Source organism: Homo sapiens, chromosome 7, assembly GCF_000001405.40.
Source record: "Homo sapiens chromosome 7, GRCh38.p14 Primary Assembly".
Lineage (NCBI taxonomy): Eukaryota > Metazoa > Chordata > Mammalia > Primates > Hominidae > Homo > Homo sapiens.
Genome location: NC_000007.14, coordinates 21,844,926 through 21,859,991, shown reverse-complemented (window position 1 = coordinate 21,859,991; position 15,066 = coordinate 21,844,926). Strand labels below are relative to the sequence as shown.

At 37.0% G+C, this 15,066-nt stretch overlaps 1 protein-coding gene across 1 annotated transcript in view; it reads right to left on the bottom strand.

The window, feature by feature from the left end:
* The window catches only part of DNAH11 (dynein axonemal heavy chain 11), a 358,801-nt gene that overhangs the window by 41,848 nt on the left and 301,887 nt on the right, over positions 1-15,066 (bottom strand). The window contains exons 67-68 of the mRNA NM_001277115.2: positions 7,361-7,525; positions 5,537-5,677 (exon numbers count right to left, since the gene is read on the bottom strand). Of these exons, the coding sequence (NP_001264044.1) occupies positions 5,537-5,677; positions 7,361-7,525 (306 nt within the window). The remainder of the gene's footprint in view (positions 1-5,536; positions 5,678-7,360; positions 7,526-15,066) is intronic.

The window sequence follows — 15,066 nt, the reverse complement described above, 5'->3', positions numbered from 1 at the left end:
CTGTGTTGCCCAGGCTTGTTGATCATTTTTATAACATCTTTGGAGAAATGTCCACTTATGTCCTTATTTTAAAATCTGGTTATTTGCTGTGTTTTGTTGTCGTTGTTGTTGTTGTTGTTGTTCCCATGTACTTTCGGGATGCCCCTTGGTCACCTCTTCTTCCTTTAAAGATCACTCTTGATATTTATTACTCTCATTCATGCCTTGGTGATAATGGCGTTGTATGAATTGCTATATCTCTCTATATAAATATAAATTTGAAAAATATATCTATATATATAAATAGCCATCAATATAAAAATATCTATTTATTTTTGGATGATAGGGACCAGAGACCACAGATTAATTCACCTTGAAGTATGTATATTTGAGTGAAAGTAAAATCCTACAATGACAGATATATACAGTAAACATTGGTAAGAAGGCATTAACAAAGTATAGCTTGAATATGTCTTATCTGAAATGCTTGGGGCCAGAAGTGTTTCAGATTTTGGATTTTTTCAGATGTTTGAATATTTGCAAATACACAATGAGATGTCTTGGGGATGGAACCCAAGTTTAAACACAAAAGCATTTATAGGTTGGGCTTGTGGCTCATGCCTGTAATCCCAGCACTTTGGGAGGCTGAGGCAGGTGGATCACCTGAGTTCAGGAGTTTGAGACCAGCCTGGCCAACATGGTGAAACCCCATCTCTACCAAAAATACAAAATTTAGCCAGGCATGGTGGTGGGTGCCTGTAGTCCCAGTTACTTGAGGGGCTGGGACAGGAGAATCGCTTCAACCTGGGAGGTGGAGATTGCAGTGAGCCGAGATTGCACCACTACATTCCAGTCTGGGTGACAGAGTGAGACTCCATCTCAAAAACAAAACAAAATGAAAAAAAAAATTCATGTATGTTTCATAGACACCTTATACACATAGCCTGAAGTTAATTTTATACAATATTTTAAACAATTTTGTGCATAAAGTGCATGAGGTCAGGTGTAGAATTTTCCACTTGGGGCATCTTGTCAGCATTCAAAAAGTTTCAGATTTTGGAGCATTCTGGTTTTTGGATTAGGAGGCTCAATCTGTACTAACCTGATATTTACACTTTCTTAAAATCAGTTTTTCGTTTACATACTATAAAATGTGCCTATTATATGCACAGTTTGATGAGTCTTGACAAATAGATATATTCTAACAATAACCGTAGCAATCAAGATAAAGAACCTTTCTACTTACATTACCAGAAAAAGTTCTCATGTGCCTATTTACAGCCTATTCCCACCACCATCGCCAGCCCCAGTCAATTACTGACCTGCCTCTGTCACTGTAGAATAATTTTGCCTTTTCTATAATTTCACATAAATAGCATCATATGGTATATACTCCTCGGTATCTGGCTGCTTCTTTTCAACATAATCGTTTGGTGACATATCCACGTTGTTGTGTGTACCAACAATTCATACCTTTATGTTTTGAGTAATAGCCCACTGTGGGAACATGCAAAATCTGCATGACTATTAATGTGTCAGTCCTTTGGATTGTTTTTAGACTTTGGCTTTTATGAATAAAGCATCTATGAACATTTGTTAAGCTTTTTGCAGGCATACATTTTTATTTATCTTAGGTAAATGCCTGGAGTAAAAGTGTGAGATCATATTTTCTAACTGTATATTTATCTTTACAAGAAACTGCCAAACTGTTTTCCAAAATGGTTTATTGCATTCCTTCCAGCAATGTGAGAGAGCTGTAGTACCATATCTGTGCTACACTTGCTATTAAGAGTCTTCTGAAACTTTAGCCATTCTGTGGGACATAGAATAAGACCTCATTCTGCTTTTATTTTGCATTTTTCTGATGCCTGATGAGCATTTTTAATGTGCTTGTGGATAATTCACATGTGTTATTACATGTCTGTTCAACTCTTATTACTGAGTTGTACAAGTTCTTTTTATATCCTGATACAAATTCTTTGTTTTATATATATGTATTGAGAATATTGTCTTTGCTTGTCTGTGGCCTACCTTTTCATCTTCATATCTTTTGAAAACCATAAACTTTTAAGCTTGATAAGGTTCAATTTATTAAGTTTTTATTTTCTATTGTGTCCTAAGAAATCTTTGCCTAACCCAAAGCCCTCTCTTATTTTTCTCCTAGAAAATGTATAGCTTAATAAATTCATTTTGAATTTTTTTATATAGTATAATAGTTTGAGGTTTATTTTATGTCATGTGGATATCCAATTGCTCCAGCACCATTTGTTGTAAAAACTGTCCTTTCCTCATTGAATTGTCTTGGCACCCCTACTGAAAATCAATTGACCATGCATTTGTGGGTGTACCTCGGGATTCTCCAATCTGTTCCACAGATCTATGCATTTTTCTTCAGGCCAGTACCACAACATCTTGATTCGTGTAGATTTAAGTCTTAAAATCAGAAATTGTAAGTCTTCCAACCCTGTTTTTTTTTTTCTTTTTCAAAATTGTTTAGCTATTTTAAGTCCTTTGAATTTTCACACAAATTTTCAGGATAAGCTTGCCAATTTCTACCAAAAGGAAAAAGGAAATGTCTTCTGGTGTTTTGATTGGGACTGAATTGAATCTATAAATCAGTTTGGAGCGAACTGACATCTTAACAATATTGAGCATTCCAACTGATGAACATGGTGTATCTATTTAGTTAGGACTTCTTTAATTTTTCTCAACAATATTTTGGAGTTTTTAGAATACAAACCTTGCATATATTTTATTAAAATTATTCCTAAAAAGCTTCACGGCTTTGGAAGCCACTGTAAATAGTGCTAAGACACTGATTTTATTTTCCACTTGTTTCTCATGTATAGAAATACAAGGTACATTGTATATCAACCTTATATCCTGCAACCTTGCTAAAAATTCACTTCTTAGTCCTGGCAGGGTTTTGGTGAGTTTCTTGGGATTTTCTATATACATAATCAGGTCATCTGTGAAAAAACACAGTTTTTCTTCTTCTTTTAAATCTCTTGCCTTCTATTGTCTTACTGTACCGACTATAACTTCCAGTGCAGCGCTGAATAGATGTGCTGAGAGAAAGATATCCTTGTCTTGTTCCTGATTTTAGCGAAAAGCATTCCATTTTCAACATTAAGTATAATGTTGGTGTAGATTTTTTCTAGATGCATTTTATCATGTTGAGAAGTTACCATCTATTCATTAGTTGAGAGTTGGTTGGTTTTTTTTTTAACTCATTTGTTGAAATTTTTCAAGTTCTTTGCATCAACTGAAATGACCATATGAGCTTTTTTTTCTTTTATTCTGTTAACTGATTAATTACACTTCGTGATTTTTGAATGTTAAACCAATTTGATTCTTGGCATACATTCCACTTGGTCATGATACATTGTGCTTTTTATATATGGTTGGATTCAATTTGCCAACATTTTCTGGAGGAGTTTACCAACAATGTTTACAAGGGGGGACTGCCCAGTATTTTTCTTTTATTGTAATGCCTTAGTGTAGTTTTGGAATTTGGGCAATACTGGGCTGACACTGATGATTTAGTTTTACTCTTCTCCTCACACATGGTTACTTTCAAACTCCAACCACACTGTGCTTGTTAGAAGTTTTGCATACTAGTTCTGTACTGTTAGGAAACCTGCTAGTTATGCTTGATCCTTTCCTCTTTATTATTGCCCATAACCAGTCCATCTCCAGGAGCCAATGATTCCAGCTTCAAATCATATCTCAGGTCTGTTCACGTAACTCTGAGTCTTTTGTCATCACATCAGTTATCTGCTTGAAATCTTCCAATGGCTTCTTGTTGCACACAGATTATAATCCCCAAATTCCACACACAGTGGTCTACAAAACTCTGCGTGATTCAGTCTTTCCCACCTCTCTAGATTCATTTCTTGCTACCTTTCCCCTTGCTCATTACCCTGCAGCCACAGAAATTCACTCACTACCTGGAATCCCTGAATTCTTTCATCTCACACATTCCTGTTTTCTCCAAACACTCTTTACATAGCTAAGTCCTACTTATCCTTCAGAAATAAACGTTACTTCCTCTGGGAGGCCTTCCCTGAGCCCCCAGTAAAAGCAGCCTCTCCACCTCTATCATTCTGTCTTACAATACTTTCTACTTTTATAAACAAATGTATGATCATAAAGGTGGAACTATATCTATGTGTACATATATATCTATATGTATCTACATATAGATATACCTCCACCCTTATGTTTTGTCCAAAACTATACACTCAAGTGACAAGCATCTGACGTGATTGATCATAATAAACATTTGTCTAAAAACGGATGAACAGATGAACAGAATGAATGAGCACTGCCCAGCAGGCAGCAGCATGGTACAAGGTATGGAGCGTGGGCTTTGGAAACAGTTACAGGTTGAAATGCTGGCTCTTACAATAACAAATGTAAATTCTTGGGCAATTTATTTAAAGTTTGAAAATGTCATCCTTATTTTTTAAATGGGGATATTATATTCTTTATTGAGATGTAATAGGGATAAAGAATGAGCCAAAGTATAAAAATGCCTTGCATGTAATAGTGACTCAATAAATAGTTGTTCTTATTATTTTTCTTTCTTTAGCAAAGAAATATGAGCATTCTCTTTCCAAGACATATTTTCACAAAGACAAAATAGGAGCCTCAAGGAAAATTCCCTTAAAGAGTCTGCTGGCCAGGTGCGGTGGCTCACGCCTGTAATCCCAACACTTTGGGAGGCTGAGGCGGGCAGATCACGAGGTCAGGAGATAGAGATCATTCTGGCTAACACGGTGAAACCCCATCCCTTCTAAAAATACAAAAAATTAGCCAGGTGTGGTGGCGGACACCTGTAGTCCCAGCTACTCAGGAGGCTGAGGCAGGAGAATGGAGTGAACCCGGAAGGTGGAGCTTGCAGTGAGCCAAGATCGCGCCACTGCACTCCAGCGTGGGCGACAGAGGGAGACTCCATCCCAAAAAAAAAAAAAAAAAAAATTAAGAGACTGCTCAGGAGCAATACACCAATATAATATGATACCGTATGCACAGTTTAATTACCTCAAAGCCTTACTGAAAATTATAAATGAAAATTCCTGAGAATAAGAATTTTGCTTTTGTTATTTTGTTAACCAGATCCTCATGACTCCTTACTGGGTACACCGATGGCTTAAAAATACATTCTGGCTGTGCGCGGTGGTTCACGCCTGTACTCTCAGCACTCTGGGAGGCCAAGGAGGGGAGATCATTTGAGGTCAGGAGTTCGAGACCAGCCTGGGCAATGTGGCAAAACCCTGTCTCTACTAAAAATACAAAAATTAGCCAGGTGTGGTGGCGCACTCCTGTAGTCCCAGCTACTCAGGTGACTGAGGCATGAGAATTGCTTGAATATGGGAGGCAGAGGTTGCAATGATCACGCCACTGCACTCCAGCCTGGGCTACAGAGTGAGACTCTGTCTCAATAATAGTAATAATAGTTATTATTATTATCAATAATAAAATAAATTCCAATGTTCCAGAAACAAATTGAACTCCTAAAGTTTCCCATATTTCTTAGCTCATTCAGCATTACCTTCAAAGAGAATTGGTAGAGGGGGTTGATTTTTTGGAGGTCATTAATAACAAAATAAAGAAGAGATGCTCTTGCTGCCACTGGTCTGTAACATTCTCGGGCCTCGTTGATTTTTCTTTCATTTTCTTTGGCTTCAATCACCTATGGTGGGATCAAACAAAATAAGTAACTTATTTACTCTTCATATTCTCTACGCATATCCAAGGAATGGAAGGACGTACCTGAAATGAAAAATTATGAGTATTAAAATAGATAACATGCATGGCATCCATGTGCTCGAGCTTTTCTAAAATGATTACATTCATATTTTAAAATAATTTTTTTAATAAACTGAGTTTCAGTGAGAATGGACATAACTCTAGCGGTTTTCTAGGTTACAGATTAAACAAACCTAGTTGTTTTCTGTTCTACAGAATTTGAGTAATGTCACCTTCCTGCCTCCCCTCTCTCTTTCAAGGCTTAATAACCCAGCTATATCACCTCCCAGGGATGGCTCTTAAAAGTCTGCTGGGTCAATTCAATGCCAATAACTTCATTAGGCAACAAAGCATACAAAAGCAGTCAAGGTCAATAATATACCCAGTAACTTATGCTTACTAAAAAGCCTTAATATAGAGACTCTCATGCCTAATTCTAACTTTGCACTGGATCATCCATATGTCCATATATTTCCATTTAGTTTATCTTTATGTATTAGCCTCTGGGTACATTCAGAGAGATAATTTAAAAAGAAAAACCAGCACCACCATCAACCAACATATCAGTTTTACCCAAGGCTCAAATATCTATTTCTTTTATCTAGGACTACTGCTGGTCCCATAGGATACAGTATTTTCCCCAACCTTCTCTATAGAGTTGACTCATAATATTTGTGTATAAAAGGAAATAAAATGTAGGGCAGAGAAGGAAGTCACTACATGGTGATATATTAAGAAGATAGGAAGACACATTTTAAGAGACAATTAGAAGTTAACTTCAAAGCTAAGTTAATTTACTTAATTGTTCTAACTTTACCATCTTAGGAGCCACCTAATATTCACTTACTTGAAAAGACAGAGTAATTTGGGATTCCATTTCCTCGCTTAATTTAAGACAAATATAAAGGATGCGTAGTGACACAGCTTCTGCTGGGTAATTAATAGATTACTTAGTAATAAGGATATTCCAGAAAGCAAATAAGGGTCTAATTCACACTGAAACAATGGCATTTTAAGGGTTAACGGTCATCTGTGAAAGTCCAAAGTGCACATCACACATAAGGCATATTGGGACCCATGTTGGACATTAGCAGGAAGCCTATTTAATAAAAATTTCTACTGGCTTTTAGGAAATGTCATTTTTCCTGGGGTGAATAGTGCATTTGAGTACAGCAGGAGATTATCCTTTGCTCGGTATCCTGCCACGGCAGGCCTGTAAACAAAACTTTCACTCTAAGAATTTCTTTAAAATGTCCAACAGCTTGGAGAACCTGCAGAGAAACTGTAGGATATGAGTTTGGAAGAGCCGGATGCTAAGGCTTTTCAGATTTTCAGCCATAGAAGCCAGCAGGCCTCAGCTTTTCTTCACATTTGGTCACCCAGGAAAAATAATAGCCGGACAGTGTCTAATTTGAATGACATCTCTATGGAATTAGGAGAAGCACACATTCAACCATCTCCATCTCCATTTACAATCCCACACAGTCCAACTGCAGCTTATTAAATCACCTGAATTCCACACGCTGGTCCTCTTAGAGGAATTACCAAGTCTGATCACACTGCCCACCCCACATGTCTCATTCGAACAGAGCATTAGAATCTGCCAGGCACCCTCTGCCCTTCCTACCTTGTGCTCTATCTCTGCCACGGTGGTCTTTGTTGCCTCCAATCTCTCTACCAGTTTGGTGTCATCCAGAAAGCTTCCCTCTGCCGCAGAAAGGCGCAAAAGGAGATCGTCTTCCAGATACTTGAGCTCAATTTTAAAATCATTTTGGTGCTTTGTCAATACCAACTAATAAAAACCAAGAAAAGTGTGGGAAATGGTGGTTAAGTACTTTTTTTTTTTTTTTTTTAGAGGAAGTCTTGCTCTGTCGCCCAGGCTGGAGTACAGTGGTATGATCTTGGCTCACTGCGACGTGTGCCTCCTGGGTTAAAGCGATTCTCCTGCCTCAGCCTCCCGAGTAGCTGAGATTACAGGTGCCTGCCACCACATCCAGCTATTTTTTTTTGTATTTTAGTAGAGACGGGGTTTCACCACGTTGGTCAAGCTGGTCTCGAACTCCTGACCTCAAATGATCCACCCACCTAGGCCTCCCAAAGTGCTGCCATTACAGGCGTGAGCCACTGCGCCTGGACAAGTAAATGTTTTTAAACCAGAGTTTCCTTAATCACAAATTTCATGGAATCAGTATATAATAAAACACCCTTAACATTAAAATCATACCAATCACAATTTTTAGAAATTCTTTAAAAAACTTCAGAAGGTATGTTAAGATCTAGTTGCACTCCAGGGTGCAGAGTATAAACGCTTAACAATAATTTAACATCATGAACCACAGGAAGAATCTGTTTAAGAAAACATCAGAAACTTCTGGTTTCTGCTCAGACATATAAAGGCTTAGAAGTCTCATTTCCGTTCTCAAAATAGGAAAAAAACTCATCAACAATTCTTCCTACATACATCAGAGAACGGAGGTCACAGGACAAATTGCCATCCTAAAAACAGGCAAACACAGAGAATCACAGCTTCTCGGGAACACTGACATGCAAGTAGAGCTTGAATTAAAACTTCAGAGGGGCCCAGTCTTCGTAGTCTCTACACTTCTTTGAGTTTTACCTCCAGGAAATGCCATCCGGTTCTTACAGTGAAGGTCAGATAAAATCTACACCAGCTCTGGGCTAAGGATGGGAAAAGTAACCATTATGACATAAGCTCAGAGGGAAAGTAACCATTTTAAATATGTCCAGAACTTTCTGTTCTCCTTAACCAAAGCCTGCCCACAAGGGAAACTACTTGGCCAGTGCCTAATATGACCTGGATGTATTAATCTGCTCTCAAGGTGCGATAAAGGACTTCCTGAGACTGGGTAATTTAAAAAGAAAAGAGATTTAATTGACTCATAGTTCCGTATAGCTGGGGAGGCATCAGGAAACTTACAATCATGGTGGAAGGGAAGCAAACATGTCCTTCTTTCCTTGGCGGCAGCAGAGAGAAGTGCCCAGCAAAGGGGGAAAAGCCCCTTATAAAACCATCAGATCTTATGAGAACTCACTCACTATCACAAGAACAGCATGGAGGAAACCAATCCCGTGATTCAGTTACCTCCCACTGGGTCCCTGCCACAACATACGGGGATTATGGGAACTACAATTCAAGATGAGATTTGGGTGATGTCATAGCCAAACCATATCACTGGGGAAGGCAGAATTCCTGTCCTTTAAAAAAGGCTGAGTAACTCTTCTGAAGGCCACATCCCAGTGATTCACAGCTCCTAAAAAACCCTGAGATGTAATTATAAGAGAAAAGAATGCTTCCCCTCCATAATACCTTACCAACACATTGACAGACTCCAGTATAATATCAGTGGATTATAACTGAGAGATTTGCAAAGCACAGATTCTATTTAAAAATCAGTTTTTAGGGAAACCTAAGGACAACAAGGGAGACAAAAACAAGGACACCAGGTAAAACTGCAGCTAAATGAACATGAGACACAGCCGTAACTCCTAGCCCTGGAAACATAAAACCTCACACTAAACCTCTGTTTACTTTTGTGACAGTTATCTAATACATCATGTCTGGTTTTCAAGGTTTTCAACAAATAAGTACAAGGTATACTTAGAGGCAAAAAAAAAAAAAAAAAAAAAAAGAAGAAGACAGAACGCAAACCTCAGGACAAGACTCAGATGTGGCAGAAATTTTGGAATTATCAAACTGGGAGTTAAAAATAACTACTTAATGTGCTAACGGGTTTAATGGAAAAGTGAACACCATGCAAGACCACATGGGCAATGTAAGTAGAGATAGAAACTCAAAGAATGAAAAGGAAATGCTAGACATAAAAAACAACGTAACAAAAATGAAGAATTTTTTTTCTTTTTCTTTTTCTTTTTTTTTTTTTTTGAGACAGAGTCTCCTCTGTCGCCCAGGCTGGAGCGCTGTGGCGCCATCTCGGGTCACTGCAAGCTCCGCCTCCCGGGTTCACGCCATTCTCCTGCCTCAGCCTCCCGAGTAGCTGGGACTACAGGCTCCCACCACCACACCTGGCTAATTTTTTGTATTTTTAGTAGAGATGGGGTTTCACCGTGTTAGCCAGGATGGTCTCAATCTCCTGACCTTGTGATCCGCCTGCCTTGGCCTCCCAAAGTGCTGGGATTACAGGCGTGAGCCACCGTGCCCGGCTGAAGAATGTTTTTGACGGGCTCATGAGTAAACTAGACACAGTGACAAGAATCAGTATGCTTAGACATATGTCATTAGATACTTGAAAAAAAAAAAGAATAAAAATTAAAAAGGAAAGAATATCCAAGAACTGTGAGATGCTTACAAGGAGAAAAAAGAAAAAAATGAGCAGAAGAAAGATTGGAAATAATGGTAGCTAAAAATTCTTCAAAATTAATGAAAGATACCAAACCAAAGATCCAGGACACCCATAGAACATTAAGCAGGATAAATGCCAAAAAATCAACTCTTAGTCATTGCATATTCAAACCGCATAATATCAAAGACAAAGACAAAATCTTGAAAGAGTCCACAGGAAATAAATTACCTTACCTATGAAGGAACAAGGATAACAATTACATGGAACTTCTCTTGAGAAACTATGCAAAAAGGAGAGTTGAGTAAAATATTTAAAATGTTTAAGGAAAAAAACAATCAACAAATAATTTTGTATCTTATAAAATTATCCTTCAAAAGTAAAGCGTAATAAAAGCTTTCTTAGACCAAGAAGACTGAGGGATTTTGTTGTCAGTAGACCTGCCTTACCAGAAATGTTAAAAAGAAATTTCTTCATAGACAAGAAAAATGATATAGGTCAGAAACTCACATCTATGTAAAGAATGAAAGAGTACTAGAGAAGGAGTAAATGAAGATAAAATATGTTAGTTTATTAATTGAGCTGTCTGTTCAAAACAGTAATAAAAGCAATACAGTCAGTGATTATAACTTATGGATAAACGAAATGAATGACAGCAATGTTATAAAGGATGAGAGGGAGGAAATGAGAATAGTCTATTAAAAGATAACTGCATTACCAATGAGGCAGTAGTGTTATTTGAAAATGGAATTAGAGGCTGGGCATGGTGGCTCATGCCCGTAATCCCAGCACTTTGGGAGGCCGAGGCAGGTGGAACACCTGAGGTCAGGAGTTTGAGACTAGCCTGACCAACATGGCGAAATCCCATCTCTACTAAAAATACAAAATTAGCTGGGCATGGCGGTACATGCCTGTAATCCCAGCTACTCGGGAGGCTGAGGCAGGAGAATTGTTTGAACCAAGGAGGCAGAGGTTGCAGTGAGCCGAGATTGTGCCATTGCACTCCAGCCTGGGCAACAAGAGTGAAACCTCATCTCAGAAAAAAAGAAAAAAGAAAATGGAGTTAGATTAGTTGTAAATGTATATTGCAAATGCTAAGGTAACCACTAAAAAAATTTTTAAAAGAAATACAATTTATATTGTACTTACATATAGCAATCTATTTTGCTAAGAGAGAAGAGATACTAGAATCATATAAAATGCTTAAAACCAAAGAAGGCAGAAGAGAAGGAAAAGAAAAATTATTACAAATACAAAATACATACATCATGTTGTAATATATAAATATTACAGCTATATATACAGAGAGAGAGAGCGAGTGAGAGTGAGCACCCAATATATATAGCTAAGAAAGAAGACACTGGAATCATACAAAGTGCTCAATTAAAACCAAAGATGGCAGAAGAAGAGAAAAAGACAAAACTAGTGAGAAACAAGTATAATGAATAAAACCCAATAAAAATACGGTAGATATTGATCTAATTATAGCAACAATCTCTTTAAATGTGAATTATATTGACATAGTAGATAAAAAACAAGACCTATCTGTCTATAAAACCCACTTTAAATATAAAAATTAAAAGTAGAGAGAGAGAGAGAGAGAGATGGAGAAAGATATACCATGCTAACACTAATCGAAAGAAAGCTGGGGTGGCTATATTAAGACAAAGTAGTTATCAGAATAAGAAAAATTATTGAGAACAAAGAAGTGCATTACATAATAAAAGGGTCTACTCTCCCTGAAAGCATAATAATCTTTTTTTTTTTTTTTTTGAAACAGAGTCTCGCTCTATCACCCAGGCTGGAGTGCAGTGGTGCAATCCCAGCTCACTGCAAGCTCTACCTCCTGGGTTCACGCCATTCTCCTGCCTCAGCCTCCCGAGTAGCTGGGACTACAGGCACCCGCCACCACGCCCAGCTAATTTTTTTTGTATTTTTAGTAGAGACGGGGTTTCACCATGTTAGCCAGGATGGTATCGATCCCCTGACCTCGTGATCCGCCCGTCTCAGCCTCCCAAAGTGCTGGGATTACAGGCGTGAGCCACTGCACCCGGTCGAAAGCATAATAATCTTTAATGTGTATGCACCTAATAATGGAGTGTCAAAATACAGAAGGCAAAAACTAAGAACTGCAAGGAGAAATAAACAAGTCCACAATTATAGCTGGACAATTCAAAACCCTTATATCATAATTGACAGATCCAGCAGGCAAAAAATCAGCAAGGATATAGTCGAACTGTGCATCATCATCAATCAACCGGATCGAATGTCACTGACAGACTACTTCATCCACTTACAGAAGAATATACATTTTTCTCAAGCTCACATGGAACATTTGCCAAGATGGACCAAGTAACACACCAAAAAGGTTTAAAAGAATAGAAATCATACAAAGTATGTTCCAGACCACAACAAAATTACGTAAGAAATCAGTAACAGAACGCTTAAAATTCAAAAATATTTGGAGATTAAACAACACAGTTTAAAATAACACATGGGTCAAAGAAGAAGTCTCAAGAAAAACTTAAAAATATTTTGACATAAATGCAAACAAAAATACAACATATCAAAATTTGTGAGATTCAGCAAAAGCAGTGGTTAAAGGGAAATTTATAGCATTGAATGCATATATTAGAAAAGTAGAGAAGAAAACCTAAAGGTATTTATCTAAGCTTTTACCTTAGAAAATTAGATAAAGGAGCAATGTGAACCTAAAGCAAGCTTGTGAATACATAATAAAAATCAGAGCAGAAGTCAGTAACATTTTAACCAGAAAATCAGTAGAGAAACTAAAATCCAAAGCTGATTATTTGAAAGGATCAACAGAATTTATAATACTCTAGCCAGGCTAGCCAAGAGACAAGAGAAGGCACCAATTACTAGTATGAGAAATGAAAGAGGGGCATAAATACCAATTCCATGAATATTAAAGGATAATAAAAGAATCTTATAAATCATTATATGCTTACAAATTTGATAACTTAGATGAAGTGAACTGAAACTTTGGAGGGCAGAATCTACCAAAAATACATACATAATCTGAAAAGGCCTATATGCATTAAATAAATTAACTCAATAATTAATAACCTTTCAAAACAGAAAGCACCAGGTCCAGATGATTTCACTGGAAGAAAAGAGTTAAGGGAGAAATAGTATCAATTCTCTACATTTTTTCTAGAAAATAGAAGCAGAGGGAACATTTCCTATCTCATTCTATAGGGCAAGCATTACCCTAAGACCAAAACCAGATAAACCCATTACAGGAAAAAACAAAACAACTACGGACCGATATCTCTGATGAGCATAGTTGTGAACATCCTCAAAAAATTAGCAAATCAAATCCAACAATGTACAAAAATAATTAAACACCACGACCAAGTGGGATTTATTCCAGGTATGCAAGTCTGGTTCAAAAGTGAAGTAATGATATATAACAAGCTAAAGAAGAAAAATGTAGTCATATCAATAAATGCAGAAAAAACATTTGATAAAATTTAACAGTAATTTAATGATAAAAAAACTCTCGGCAAATTAGAAATAGAGGGGAACTTTCTTAACGTGATAAAGAAGATCTAAAAGAAGAGAATCATAGCTTACATTGTACTTAATGGTGAGAAGCTAGATGCTTTTGCCCTAAGATCAGGAACGAGGCAAGGTTCCACTCCTACTCAACATTGTACTAGAAGTCCTAACTAATGCCTTAAGACAAGAAAAGGAAATTAAAGGTATATGGAATGGGAAGGAAGAACAAAAAATTGTCTTTGTTCACGCATGACATGATAATCTATGTGGAAAATCCCAAAGTATGAACGTAAGGCCTCTTGCAACTAATAAGCAGGTATAGCACATTTGCAGGATACAGATTAATATACAAAAGCCATTGCTCTTCTATACACCAGCTTTAAACAATTGGAATTTGAAATTTAAAACACAATGCCATTTACATTAGTACCAAACAACTGAAACACTTAGGTATAGATTTCACAAAGTATGTTGAAGATCTGTCTGGAGGACTAAAAATCTCTGATGAAAGAAATCAAAGATCTAAACAATGGAGAGATATTGCATGTTGATGAATAGGAAGTCTCAATATTGTTAAGCCATTCTGAGTATTGTTAAGCCATTATTGTTAAGTCATTCCTTTCTGAAATTCAACACAATATTATTCAAAATACCTGTACATTATTTTATAGATGTTGAAAATCTGATTCTAAAGTTTATATTAAAAATCATAAGATCCAGAATCATCAAAAATATACAGAAAAACAAAGTCAGAGAATTGACACTACTTGGCTTCCAGACTATCAAGCTACAGTAATCAAGGCGGTGTGATATTGATAAAAGGATAGACAAACAGATCAATGGAATGAAACAGAGAACGCAGAAATATGAATAGATCCAACTGATCTATTCATATGAAATATGGCCAACTGATCTTTAACAAGGATCAAAGGCAATTTAAGGGAGAAAATATAGTCTTTTCAACAAACGGTGCTGAGACAACTAGATAGCCACAGGCAAAAGAATGAAGGTGCACCCCTACTTCACACCACGTACAAAAATTAACTCAAAATATACAACAGAGCTAAATGTAAGAACCAAAACTACACAACTCCTAAGAGAAAACATAAATCTTCACGAACTGTCAGTTAATGATTTCTTAGATATGATACCAAAAAACAAGCAAGAAAAAATAGATAAACTGAACATTACCAAAATTAAAAACTTTTGTGCTTCAAAGGACACCAACAAGAAAGTGAAAAGACAGCCCACAGAATGGGAGAAAATTTTTATAAGTCACATATCCAATAAGAGTCTGACATTCAGAATACAAGAACTCCTGCAACTTTTTTATGCTAACATAAAAAAAAAATACTATTTTCTTATATGGTCTGGTGGTGCCTTGATTACAGACACGGTCCCTGATCCAGCTTGGCAATTAGTGCACAAGGCAGCAAGCCAGTGGTCCTTTGAACTCTGACTTGGTGGATGACTCACTCCTGGCATGTTGCAG